This window comes from Homo sapiens, chromosome 14 (genome assembly GCF_000001405.40).
Source record: "Homo sapiens chromosome 14, GRCh38.p14 Primary Assembly".
Lineage (NCBI taxonomy): Eukaryota > Metazoa > Chordata > Mammalia > Primates > Hominidae > Homo > Homo sapiens.
Genome location: NC_000014.9, coordinates 100577103 through 100589841, shown reverse-complemented (window position 1 = coordinate 100589841; position 12739 = coordinate 100577103). Strand labels below are relative to the sequence as shown.

At 58.5% G+C, this 12739-nt stretch overlaps 1 protein-coding gene across 6 annotated transcripts in view; it reads left to right on the top strand.

Moving 5' to 3' along the window:
* Positions 1 to 2424: 2424 nt before the first annotated feature.
* Positions 2425 to 12739, top strand: part of BEGAIN (brain enriched guanylate kinase associated) — a 50271-nt gene continuing 39956 nt past the window's right edge. For all 6 annotated transcript variants that reach the window (NM_001385101.1, NM_001385102.1, NM_001385093.1 and 3 more), the window contains exon 1: positions 2425 to 2593. Coding sequence is in view for 4 of the 6 variants with exons in the window: in NM_001385093.1 (NP_001372022.1) it covers positions 2552 to 2593 (42 nt within the window). In the remaining 2 variants the exon portion in view is untranslated. The remainder of the gene's footprint in view (positions 2594 to 12739) is intronic.

The following is a 12739-nucleotide window of genomic DNA, read 5'->3' as shown; positions in this document are numbered from 1 at the left end:
CAGATAGCTCTGGAACGCAGTAAGAGACACGCAAAAAACAAAATAGGGCAACGAGATTGAGCCATGGGGATGGTGATGTCAAACAGAGTGGTCCGTAGAGGTCTGAATGAGGGCAGGGGCCTGAGGAGAGGGTCCTCCATGGCCCCAGGGCATCACCTCGAAGTCCTGCCACTTTCATCCCTTCTTCCCAACCCGGCTGAAACCTTGCCTCCTCCAGGAAGCCTGCCTGATGCCCCAGGCTCTGCTGCACTGACTGTAGTTTCCCCATCTGCAAAAAGGGGCTAGTACCACTTCCCCTACAGGGGCATTGCAGGGATGCTCCCAGACCCACAACCAATGCCTGCTTTCTCTCCGCCTTCCTAGCTTAAGGGGGCTGGAGTGGGAAGGATAGAAGAGAGGGCAGGGAGGGTGGGGACGGGAGGTGCGTGCAGCATGGGGGAGGGGCTCTCCTGGGGCCTTCCCAGGCAGGCCTGAGCTGAAGCCTGCAAGCTGCTGGAGCTGAAGCAGGAGCCGCCCCCACCCCACCCGCCCCTCCCCCGCCTCCCCAGCCATCTGTGGCGTTGGCAGCAGCAGTGCCAGGGCGGGCGGTGAACATTCTGGCACCATCTGAGCAGGACCAGCCTCTGGGGAAGGGCCGCAGCCCAGGAGGAGGCAATGTGGGCAGAGCCCTGCCTGTACCCCAGGTTCCACATCCCCCATTGGTGTTTGTCCCCTTAGGGACTGGGGAGGGAAGGGACACTGGAGCTGGCAGGCTGGGCCTCACTACCTCTCACAGGATGCCTCCACTGCTGTGTGCTGCCTGAATGGTGTCTGAACCTGAGAGGCCAGAGTGGAGGTCAGGGAGCCTGTCCCTACTCCTGCTGGGGAGACTAAGGCCCCCTTGAGCAAAGAGGCTGGTCCCGTGGTGCACACCAGCGACGGTTTGGGCGAAGTCTGTCCACGCTTCGCCCAAACTGGGAGAGCCCCGCCCTGAGCTGCCGCCTCTCATTTTGTCTTGACTGTGGTGGGGTGCACTTGGAGGCGCCTCCCTCTGTCCATTGGTTACCCAATCATGTCCCTGGGACCTGAGAGGGAGCAGAGACAGGACTTTGCTTGACACGAAGTGGCTCCAGTCAGCTGCTGGTTCTTTTGCTTGTCTCCTTTTTTTCTGGGTTTCCCCTCTTGCCTTGCTATCAGTGCCTTTTCTCAGCACTGACACTGCCTGAATGTAGCAACCTACTCCCCAGATTAAATGAGAGAGCGTAGAAACTGCAAAGCATACAACATACAGCATATAAGGATGGTGGTGATGGCAGCTCAACAGTGGGAACTCAGTGTCCCCAAACTGTACACTTTAAAAGTGGTTAAAATGGTAAATTTTATGTTTTCCATGTTTTCCACAATTAAAAAACAAAAATATACAAGGTACTCATTCGCAGCATCTTCTAATCTGCCATGTACTTGGAAATGATATAAGCATGTGTGAACCATGAGCCCATAGGTCCCGAGGGAGGATATGAGCGAAGCACACGGGCTTTGCCAGCTCTGTTTCCACCACGCAGGACCCTCCCTGGCTGCCAGTGCTCCTCCCCGGGTTCCCACGCTGGCTGCTGCTGGGCTGGCTGGGATGGAAGACCCTCATGTAGCTGGCACCCTCAGGGCTGCCCCTTGCCCGCTCTGGGAGGAGAGAGGAGGGTTCACGCTGCACCTTTACCAGGGTAGGACTGGCCAGCCTGGGCTCTACCGGGCAGGTCGGTGGGATGCTTCAGACTGGAGGGATAGGCAGGGGGCAACACTGGTCCTCCTGAAGCCACCTTCCCTTCCTGAGAGCTCCTTGGGGAGAAGGCAAGCCCTGGAAGCCACCGACTGGGGGCTCGGGCAGAGCAAGGGCAGGGTAAGGGGCAGCTTGGCCAGGAGGCACCCTTGGGAGCCAGGGTTTCCTCATCTGTAAAATGTGACTCTGCGAGGGCAGGAGCTTGGTTTCACTCGCTACTGTACCCCCTGGGGCCTACAGCAGGGCTGGTTGGTACACACTAGGTGTCTAATAAATGTTGAGGGATTGAATGGATGGACCGATGAAAAGGTTGGGCAGGTCATTACTGACAGCCTCTGGGTTTCAAGGGCCCATTCACTCTGTCACTCACCTTCGCGCCCGTGCATTAGTTCTCTCATTTATTCATTCCCCCCGCCCCCCCAGCCCCGCATGCTCTACCGCACTCATTCATTCACGCGCTCAGCCATTCAAGCTGGCGCGGGTTCATTCATTCCCTGCCCCTCTGCCATTCCTCGCCTGGCCCCCGCGCACGCCGCACCCCCGCGCCCCTGCCCGGCCCTGCGCCCACCACTTGCGCCCCGGCCGGGCGCTGCCGGGAGGACGCGCGGGCTCAGCCGCGGCTGCGCGGGGCCGGGGCTGGCGGGGAGCCGGGCTGGGGGCGGGGGGCGGGCGCTCCCTGCGGGAAGCCGGGCGGGGTGGGGGAGCCCCGGCCGCGCCGGCTCCCGGCGCGCTCGGCCTCGGAGGGGAGGGGGCGGCGGTAGCGGCGGCGGCGGTGAGCGGCGCGGCTGCCCTGGGGCCATGTGGACTGGCGGTCGCCGGCCGGGCCGGCTGCGCCGGGCGGTGAGTACCTGCGAGCCGGGAGGGCAGGGCGCGGGCGCGGGCGCGGAGGCGGGGCGGGCGCCACCCACGCCTGGGGCGGTCCCTGCTCAGCGCGGGAGGTGGCCGGCCCCCCGCCCCGCTCCCCTCCGCGCTGCGCCCCCGCCGTGGAGGCTTCACTGGCCCGGGAGGAGCCGGGCCGGGTCTCCTGGGAACTGGGCACTCTCGGGTGGGGCGGGGATGCCCAGCCTCCGCGCGCCGCCGGGAGCGCCCGGGTCCTATCGCGGGGTCCTTGCGCCCTGACACGCGCGCCCCTGCGGCGGAAGGAAAGGAGGGACGGGTGACCAAGGGCGCGGCCGGAGGACTGGGGACCCGCCGCTGTCCCGGGCGGGTGGCGAGGGTGCGGGCAGGCCTGGACCCGCCTGCGTCTGGGGGCAGGGCCAGCCCCTGCTTGGGAGGCCGGAGAAAGGCCCGGGAGCCGGAAGGAGGCTGGACCCGGGGCCGCCTCATTGAGCGTTTGCAGCGCGTGGGCGCGCACGAACCTCGGACACCACCATCCCATTCAGTACCTCGCGGCAGGTACTATCCTCCTGCCCCTTTACAGGCGAGGAAACTGAGGCTCAGGGAGGCCAGGGCCTCGCCCAGAGCGGCTCAGCCGGCGCGCTCACCCTCCCTGAGCCCCAGCACGTTGGATGGGAATTTCTGCCCCAGCGTTTCCGCTTCCTGCTTGGTTTAGAGGTGTTTCCTTCCTCGTCTGTGCCCCACCCCATCCCCAATGTGGTTTCCTCAGGGCAGGAACAGCGTGGGCGACGCGCTGGAGTCTCCTGAGCCGGCAGAATGGGAGCAGAGTGGGCACCCGGGAGCGGGGCCGGATGGATAGGGAGCACTGCACGTGCAAAGTCCGCATGGCCAAGGTCGGCCGCCAGTGCAGACTGGGGGTCCAGGCCCTGGGGGTATGGGTGGGGCGGGGTCTCCACAGCCAGGCTCCGTCGGAGGCCCCAGTGCTCTGGCTCTCTGGAGGCCATGGACAGGTTCTTTTCCTTCTCTGGACCCTAGTTCCTCTGCCTGCCAAGAGCAGCAGAGACCCCCACTACTCCCAGGGCCAGGCTCCCACGAGGACTGTGGGCAGAAGCCCCTAACAAACTGCGGTGTGCAGCCCTGCCAGGCTGGCCTTGGTCTTGCCAGCAGGGGCAACTGGCCGTTGGGGGTGGCTCTGCCTGGCATCTGTGACACGCAGGGCGGGGAGACGGCAGAGAGGGCCCCAGCAGCATCCTGCAAACCCTTAATTTTCCCGACTCTCACTATAATCAGGGCAGCTTGGAAAAGCAAGCACTGTGGCAGATGCGGCTCTGCCCGGGCTCAGCACACGGGCTCTGGGCGATGGGCGGCTGCGCTGCCGCCAAGGGCCCTCCCCAGCTTTTGTCTCATATTTATAGATTCCAAGGCTCCGCGTTCCGTTTGTCGTCAAAACCTGGAGCTGTTCGCACCTGGGAGCTGAGTGGGGAGGGGAGGGCTGCCTAGAACCTCAGCCTGGAGGATGAGTTTTCCATGCGCTGGGGTGGAGTAGGGGGACACCTGTCAGAGCCCAGGCCTGGAGAGAGGAAATGAGCCCTAAGCAATCTGGAAGATCTTCCATCCACTCTCCCAAGACTTGGGCGCAGGGTCTGGCCCACATAGCTGCCATTTATGGAACGCCTGCTATGTACTGGGCCCTGGATCAGCATTTCCACGCATCATCTCCACGGCAACACTTTGAAGGAGCTTCCCTACTCCTGCAGGCACTCCTGATGCTGAAGAGTGGATGGATGGATGAATGGATGGATGGATGGATGGATGGATGGATGGATGGATGGATGGGAGGGAGGGAGGGATGGATGGGAGGGATGGATGGATGGGAGGGAGGGAGGGAGGGATGGATGGATGGGAGGGAGGGAGGGAGGGATGGATGGGAGGGAGGGAAGGAGGGATGGATGGGAGGGATGGGAGGGATGGATGGATGGGATGGATGGATGGATGGATGGGAGGGAGGGAGGGAGGGAGGGATGGATGGATGGATGGATGGATGGATGGATGGATGGGAGGGATTGACTGAAGCCCATGAGTCCATGGCTATTGGACACAGTCCACAAATCATTACCCAGGGTCCCAGGAGGTGGGGTCCAAGGGCTGAGTAGTTGCTGAACAGATGAAGGGGTCAAGGTGTGTTACAGGAGCCTGGCCCAAGGCCTGAAGGTGATGGGGAGAGTGTAGAGTGTTCAAGTCTCAAGACTTAGAGAGGCTGTGTCCTGCTGGAGTGTGGAAGCCATGGCGGTGGGGAGGTGTGGCTCCTCCCCCTAAGGGAGGTAAGGATCCCTGGGACAGATGGGTGGGTGACCCTAGGACTCGCCGTGTTGGTCTAGAATCACCCCGCATGGTTCTCTTCTGACTCCCCTTCCTGCCGCAGAGCTGGTCGCTAGCCTTAGTGGAGAGGCCTGGACGGAGGTCTGCAGCCCTGGGTTCTGGTTCCTCCTCTGCCGCTGACTCACTGTCTCCTCTCTAGGGCTCCGTATCAGAAGCTTAACACCCATTACAGTCAGGGGAGTGACTTCTGTGGCCTGAGAGCAGGCATCAGATTGTAGCCTGTGGTGGGAGAAGCTGGCCAGAGGTGTCTCTATTGCTTTAATCATTATAGGAATGAATGAATGAATGAATGATGAATGACTAAGTGTGTGAATTCTACACTCACCTAACATGCTGTACCTAAGCACCCACTCTGCACTGCTCATTGGGGTCACTTAGGTGAGTCTGACACAGACCTTGCCCTCCACGAGTCCACAGTTTGCTGGGAGACATGGACCTTGGCCAGTACGGCAGGAGTCAGGAGCTGCTGGGGCTCTTCTCTCCCCTCTAGCCAGGAAGGGAACTCAAAAGTGGCCCTTGCCTCAGCAGGCCTTGAGTCTGGAGGACAGTACAGCAGCCTCTGTGGTCTGCCTGGGGTGGGGATCAGCCAGGGCCCAGCTCTGAGCCAAGCAGGGGAATTGCAGTCATTGGTTCAATCAGCAAGCCCTGAGCCCAAGTCAGGGATGGAGATGGGTCAGGCCTGGGCTTTGCCTGGGGAAGCCAGACATGGAAGCCTGGTCATCCCACAGTGGGTGCATGCTGGGATTAAGAGGTGCATGAGGTGGAGAAGCAACGCAGGCATGCTGAAGGGGATGCATGGGTGGATGATACTGTATGGAAGGGAAGCACTAGCAGGATAGAGCAGCGGATGGATGGGTAGAAACCTAGAGGGATAGGCTGGGCGCAGCGGCTCACGCCTGTAATCCCAGCACTTTGGGAGGCCAAGGTGAGTGGACCACCTGAGGTCAGGAGTTCAAGACCAGCCTGACCAATATGGTGAAACCCCGTCTCTATAAAAATACAAAAAAAATTAGGTGGGTGTGGTGGTGTGCACCTGTAGTTCCAGCCATTTGGGAGGCTGAGACAGGAGAATTGCTTGAACCCAGGAGGCAGAGGTGAGGTTGCAGTGAGCCGAGATCGTGCCACTACACTCCAGCCCCTGGGCAACAGAGTGAGACTCCATCAAAAAAAAAAAAAAAAAGGAAGAAAAACGAAAGAGAGAGAGAGAAAGAAAGAAAAAAAGAAAAGAAAGAAAGAAAGAGAGAAAGAGGGATAGATGGACGGGAGGAGAGGTTGATGGATGTAAGTAGCAAGATAGGGATGGGTGGGTGGACAGATGGAAAAGTTGATATGGATACAGGACTGGATTGATAGAACAAAATATCAATGGATGATACATGGGTGGAGGGAGGGAGACTTCTGATACACAAGGCAAGATTGGTAGATGAATGGATGGAAGGATCTTTGGATGGATGGATGAAGGAATGGATACATAAATGGATACAGGTAGTGCCTGGATGTTGGGATGGGTGGATGAATACTTGAATACATGTCCATGAATGATGGACAGAGGAATGAATGGACACTGGAAGAGTGAGTGCATGGATAGGTGATGAGTGTATATTGACGGATGTGTGGATAGAGGCCTGAGAAGGCAGCTCAGTGCACAAATGGATACAAAGCAATGGATGCATGGATACGAGACACAAGTAACAGAGGAATGGACAGACATGGAGGGATGGGCAGGCGGACAGATGGAGACGGGAGTGAGAGGACCAGTGAACAGATGAGTGCCCATCAGCGGGTGAGGGACACAGAGACAGAAGGATGTGTTGGTGCGTGGATGGCACCTGTAAATGGGTGAGCGGTCACAGGGGTGGATGGTGAAGGACGGTTGGTTGAATGGGTGAAGCTTCAGGTCACTCATGCCTTGATTTCCCAGATGCCAGTGTTTTGCTCACAGACCCCCATGTCCCTCTGCTTCAGAGACATATACTACGCAGGCGCAGGGTCAGGAGGGGGCTGATCAGACAGGGAGACTTAACCCCACCTTGACTTTGGTGGGAGAAAAGCCAACCCAAACTAACAGCTATTTGGCCTTTCCAGGCCCGCTTTGCCCTGGAAGACCCACTCAGGAAATAAGGAAGAAGCAGTGAGACCTCTTCGAAAGGTCAGCGGCCAGCCGGGGTTCCTACAGGGGCGTCCTTGCCCAGGGATCTCCCTGGAAGACCTGGACAGCTGTGTACATGTCCTATCTGAGGAAGAGAACTGGGGCACCTGTGTTGGGTGCTGGGGACTGGGAGACATCAAGACCATGGCTGCCCTTGGAGATTCTGAGGCCAGCGTGGAAAATCCAGGGACAGCGGGGCAGGTGATTAGGAGCACAAGTGTGCGGATTCCCAGAGCCTCAGTGTCCTCAACTGCAAAAGGGGAATAATAATAGACACTTCTGACTGGGCGCGGTGGCTCACGCCTGTAATCCCAGCACTTTGGGAGGCCGAGGTGGGCCGATCACGAGGTCAGGAGATCAAGACCATCCCGGCCAACATGGAGAAACCCCATCTCTACTAAAAATACAAAAATTAGCTGGGCATGGTGGTGCGTGCCTGTAATCCCAGCTACTTGGGAGGCTGAGGCAGGAGAATCGCTTAAACCGGGGAGTCAGAGGTTGCAGTGAGCCGAGATCGCGCCACTGCACTCTAGCCTGGCAGCAGAGCGAGACCTGTCTCAAAAACAAAAGAGAAAAAAGAAAGAAAGGAAAAAAAATAAACTTCTGTGCTGGGACGAGGGGAAGGTTGGTGAAGGTGACCACACCTCTGCTGGCCTATGCTGCGGCCCCTGGCGCATGCCCGCACCATGGGGGTTTACCCGAGACCCCTCAGAGCCCAGTTTCCTCCTCCGTGAAGCGGGGTAGCTGCTCCTAGCTTTCAGGCCTGCTGTAAGAATGAAGCGAGGTGACGTTTGGCACTGTCAGCAGAAGCCCGGCATGCCTGCCCACTCGGCAGGGTCCTCCCAACATCCTGTGGCCTGGTCTTCCTGCTCCAATCCCAGCAGACAGTGGGCAGCCTCATGCCCCTTCTGTCCGAGCTGGCAGGGGCCAGCTTTCCAACCACAGGGGCAGTGTGTGCCAGGCAGCAGGAGAGGGGCTTGGGCATCTGGAGAGGAAACGGGTGTGAGTGCCTGACCTTTGGGGTTCTGTCCTGGGCCTGACATGCCCAAGCCATGTGACCTCCGACGGGTCACTGCACCTTTCTGAGACCCTGCTTCTTTTAGCAGAAAATAGAGCCTTTGGCTGTCCTGATGCACAGAGGCGGGTGGGGATTTGGGGTGATGACGCATGCACAGCACGGAGCTTGGCACGCAGGATGGGCTTGGGAAGCAGGACTGAATCAGATGAGTCAAGAGGCAGGGGCTGCGGTGCCAGGAGCCGGAAGCCCCTCCAGGAGAGGTTGTCCAGGCTGCTGGTAGGTGAGCAGGTCCAGGCCGTGAGCCCACGGTAGCCGGCAGCATCCTTAGAGCCTCAGGCCCAGGCGCCTGAGAGCCAGCAGGTTGTTATGACAACGGAAACTTGCCTGATGCAGCCTGAAACTCTGGAAGCAGCTCAGAGGACTGGTTGGCCAGAGCCCCCAGAACACTCCTGCAACCATGCGTGCTAGTGAAACGGCCACATCAGAGCCCCAGTGCTAATGAGTCCTGAAGTCCCTTGCTCATGCCACTTCCCAGCACTGCCATGGGCTGAGTACTGCCCCATGCCCACCTGACAGATGAGGAGGGGATGTGGCTTGCCCGCAGGCCTGTTGGAGTGTTGGAGAAGGGATTTGAACTTGGATCTGCCAGCCTCCAAGTCTCTTTCCCACTGGTAATAGGGCAGGGGCTGAACGGCTGCTGCTGGGGAAGGGCTGTCCGGGTGTAGAGGGGCGACTGTCGGGGACCATAGGGTGGGAGGAGGACACTGTGGCCTCCCGAGAGCCTGAGATCCCTCCCCTATATTCTCATCCTGTTTCCAGTCACAGTAGGCCCACACCAGGCTGGGGATGTTTGTGAACTGACAGCCTGAACCTGCTATGCCATTCATTCAGTCAGTCATTCAAGAACTACGCATTGAGCACCTGCTATGTGCCAGGCCCTATGCAAAGAGCTGGGATACAGTGGAAGTTACATTCTACGGGGGGACACACACACAGATAATAAATAATTGCAAACATTAGTTACAGCTGGGGGCCAGGGCTATAAGGGGCTGCCGCAGGGGTACTTGATCTAATCTGAGGGACAGAGGGGGACAGGCTGTGAAACTGGGACCCTGAAGGTCAGCTGGGAATTAGATGATGGGAAGGAGGGGAAGGGAGAGAGTGAGAGTGTTTCTGGCAGAGGGAAAGCAAGTGCAAAGGCCCTGAGGTCAGATAGAGCTTAGCACATTCAGGACCTGAGAGACGTTCCTTGGCAGCGGGGAGCACGGGGCGGGAGGGTAGCAGAGAGAGAGAGAAGACACCAGCAATTGTCAGGGCCTTGCAGTGTATATGAAGGTGTGACGTTGTCTAGTCACCTGGCCTGTGATTTTATTTATTTTTTCTTTATTTATGTGTTTATTTTTTAGATAGAGTCTTGCCCTGTCACCCAGGCTGGAGTGCAGTGGTGTGATCTCAGCTCACTGCAACCTCTGCCTCCCGGGTTCAAGTGATTCTTCTGCTTCAGCCTCCCAAGGCTGGGACTACAGGCAGGCGCCACCACACCCAGCTAATTTTTGTATTTTTAGTAGAGATGGGGTTTCACCATGTTGGTTAGGCTAGTCTCGAACTCCTGACCTCAGGTGATCCGCCTGCCTCGGCCTCCCAAAGTGCTGGGATTCCAGGCGTGAGCCACCGCACCCGGCCTGGTCTGTGATTTTAAAAGGTCACACTCGCCGTGTTTGTGGGATAGGCCGGGCTGGATCCGCATCGACTCAGGAGGCACAGGAAGGGATGATCGCAGATGTCCAAGTGAGACATGGTAGTGTCTGGTACCAGCAAAGTGATGGTGAGGATGCAGGGAGGTGGCCAGGCCTGAGAAAGGCTGAATCTCCAGGGCCTGGCAGCCAGGGGCGGGGACAGGGAAGAGGGAAGGAAAGAGTTGAAGCGGCCCCTGTTCCTGTCTTGGGTGGCTGAGGCCATGGTGAGGCCACGCACTGAGTTTTGCAGACTCAGTCAGGGGCGCTTTGGGCATTCAGAGAGGTGTCCGGCAGAGCTCAGAAAAGCAGGGGTCCTCAGCACCTGATGGAGGCATCCAGACAGAGCCCAGATGTACAGCTATGAGCATGCCACACAGGGCCTCAGCCTCGCTCCAAGCAGCACCAGAGGCCAGGCCAGCGATGGTGGTAATGCCCACCAGGCCAAGGGCCTGGGCTGCCACCCCTGGAAAGCCTTCCTTCAGTCTAGCAGCCTAAAGCCGCATCCTAGGAAGGATCTCTGTGTGGGGTGCAGTGGGCAGGCGTGTCTCCCTTCACACAAATGATGGAGGGTCCAGGTCTGGCTCTAACCCTTCTCTAAGTTTATCTCCCTGGCCCCACTCCCACCTAACTACACCCGAGGCCTCCATGTGCCAAAGGCTCTTGCTCATAGCGTTAACAACTGCTTTTTCTCACCCTAACCCTGTATATCATTGGAGAATTGCACATAGCTGCTACCAACAGAGATGAAATAACCATAGCTTAAAGACAAGAGGTTATTTTTCTTTCAAGTTAAAGAAGTACCAGAAGCAGGCCAGGCACAGTGGCTCACGCCTATAATCCCAGCACTTTGGGAGGCCAAGGCAGGCGGATCACCTGAGGTCAGGAGTTCGAGACTAGCCTGACCAACATGGTGAAACTCTGTGTCTACAAAAAATACAAAAATTAGCCAGGCATGGTAGCAGGCGCCTGTAGTCTCAACTACTTTGGAAGCTGAGGCAGGAGAATTGCTTGAATCTGGGAGCGGAAGTTGCAGTGAGCCGAGATCATGCCATTGTAATCCAGCCTGGGCAACAAGAGCGAAACTCCATCTCAGAAAAAAAAAAAAAAAAAAAAGTACCAGAGGCAGATGATGCAAGGCTGGTGTGATGATGATTCAGTGGTCATGAGATATCCGGATTCCTTTTGTCTTTCTGCTCCTCCATCTTTTATATATGGCTGCTGCCACAAGTTTGTCTCATGGTGCAAAATGGCTGCCACAGCTCCAGCCATCACTTCCATGTTCTAGAGAAGAAGCAGGAGGTTGGTGAATGGGAAAAAGACACAGGCTGGCTGTCTGATCTTTTCTGCAGAGTTCTGCCAGCAGTCACACCCAACTTCTGTTTATAGTTCATTGGCTACCTCCTGGCCTGGCTTATAGGAGCCTGGGAAAGGTGGTCTTTTAGCCGACTACCCTGTATCTCAAAAGAAAATGAAGGCTCTGTAATAAGGATGCATGGGAGGACTGTGGGCTGCCCGCAGCCTCTGCCACCCCCTTCCATTTGCTGGTTTGCTGCAGTTCCAGTTTGCCCTGCTTCAGGCCCAGCACTCAAGCCATCATGGTGGCCACCGTGGCCATCTGTCCACTGCCTGTCCTCTGTGCCCCTGCACCCTGCACCGCACCTGGCAGAGGAGATGTGAGAGTAGGAGAGGGGGAGGCCCAGCCTAGGGCCCTGTGCACCATGGGAGCTCACTCAGGGAGGGCTCCTCCCCAGGCAGAGCCCAGGACACGACCTTCCCCTCTCTAGCACTTTCTAAGCCCTGAAGCTCAGCTCTCATTTAGTGAGAATCGATTTGGGGGTGGGAGGCCAAGAGGCCCTGCCACTGGATCAATGGGCAGGCGGGCATCTGGCAGGCAGCCCTGGCCTGTGAGGACGGGAGGCACAGCCCCCAAGAGGGCACAGGGATCCCAGCCCCATGGGAGGAGAGGAGTGGGTGACGGCGCTCTTGGGGAGCCCGGACCTTGGACTGACTCAGGAGGATGCTCTCAGGGGCCAGCTCCCAGGCACGGGGCTCTAACCCTACCTGTCCCAGGCAGGACGGCTACAGCTCCCTCCTGGAGCCCGGGACAGAAGCCCCCATCAAGGAAGCTCACAGACAGGACCTTCGAAGCCACATGCCAAGCCCCAGCCAAGGTCGGAACCCCAAGGGCAAAGCATCTTGCCACCGCTGGGCAGCTCGGTCCAGCCAGGAGATGGCCCGGGTGTCGCCAGCCCAGCCTTCCTCCCCAGAGTCCCTGAACACAGGCAGCCGGGCTGTCACTGGCTCCCTCGCACGCCTGGGCCGCTGGCGGGAGGCCAGACTGCCCTTCTCCAGGTTCCTGGATGAGGTCACTGTGCGGGTTCTGGACCCTGGGACCCTGGAGGCCTTCAGGGTGCCCAGAGGCCGCAGCCCAGAGCCCTCTGCAGTGGATCGAGGCCAAGGTCTAGCCCAGGAGGCCCTTACAAGAGCTGCAGCCCCAGGGGAGAAGGACCCAGCCCTGAGCTCCCAGCTTTCTTCGGAGGCGGCCACTGAGGCTGCAAGCAGAGTGGGGCCAGGCCAGGCCGTGGGAACTAGTGGGCCTTGCTTGGGCAGTGGCAAGCGTGGAGGCCGGACTGCCTCCCCTTGGAGGTCTCCAGGTCGGGTGAGTCTCAACCCCAGAGGTCTCTTCCCTCCCCATGTGCCGCTTCCCCACAGGCCCTGGCTGACCTGCTCCGAGTTCCCTCCCCACACCCCATTTATAATATTTGTAACGGGAAAGACCTTAATTGCCAAAAGAATGAATCTCTAAGGTGAAATTTCTGGCTTTGGGGCAGGCAGACTATTTCTGTACGGAAGGCATATGCATGAAC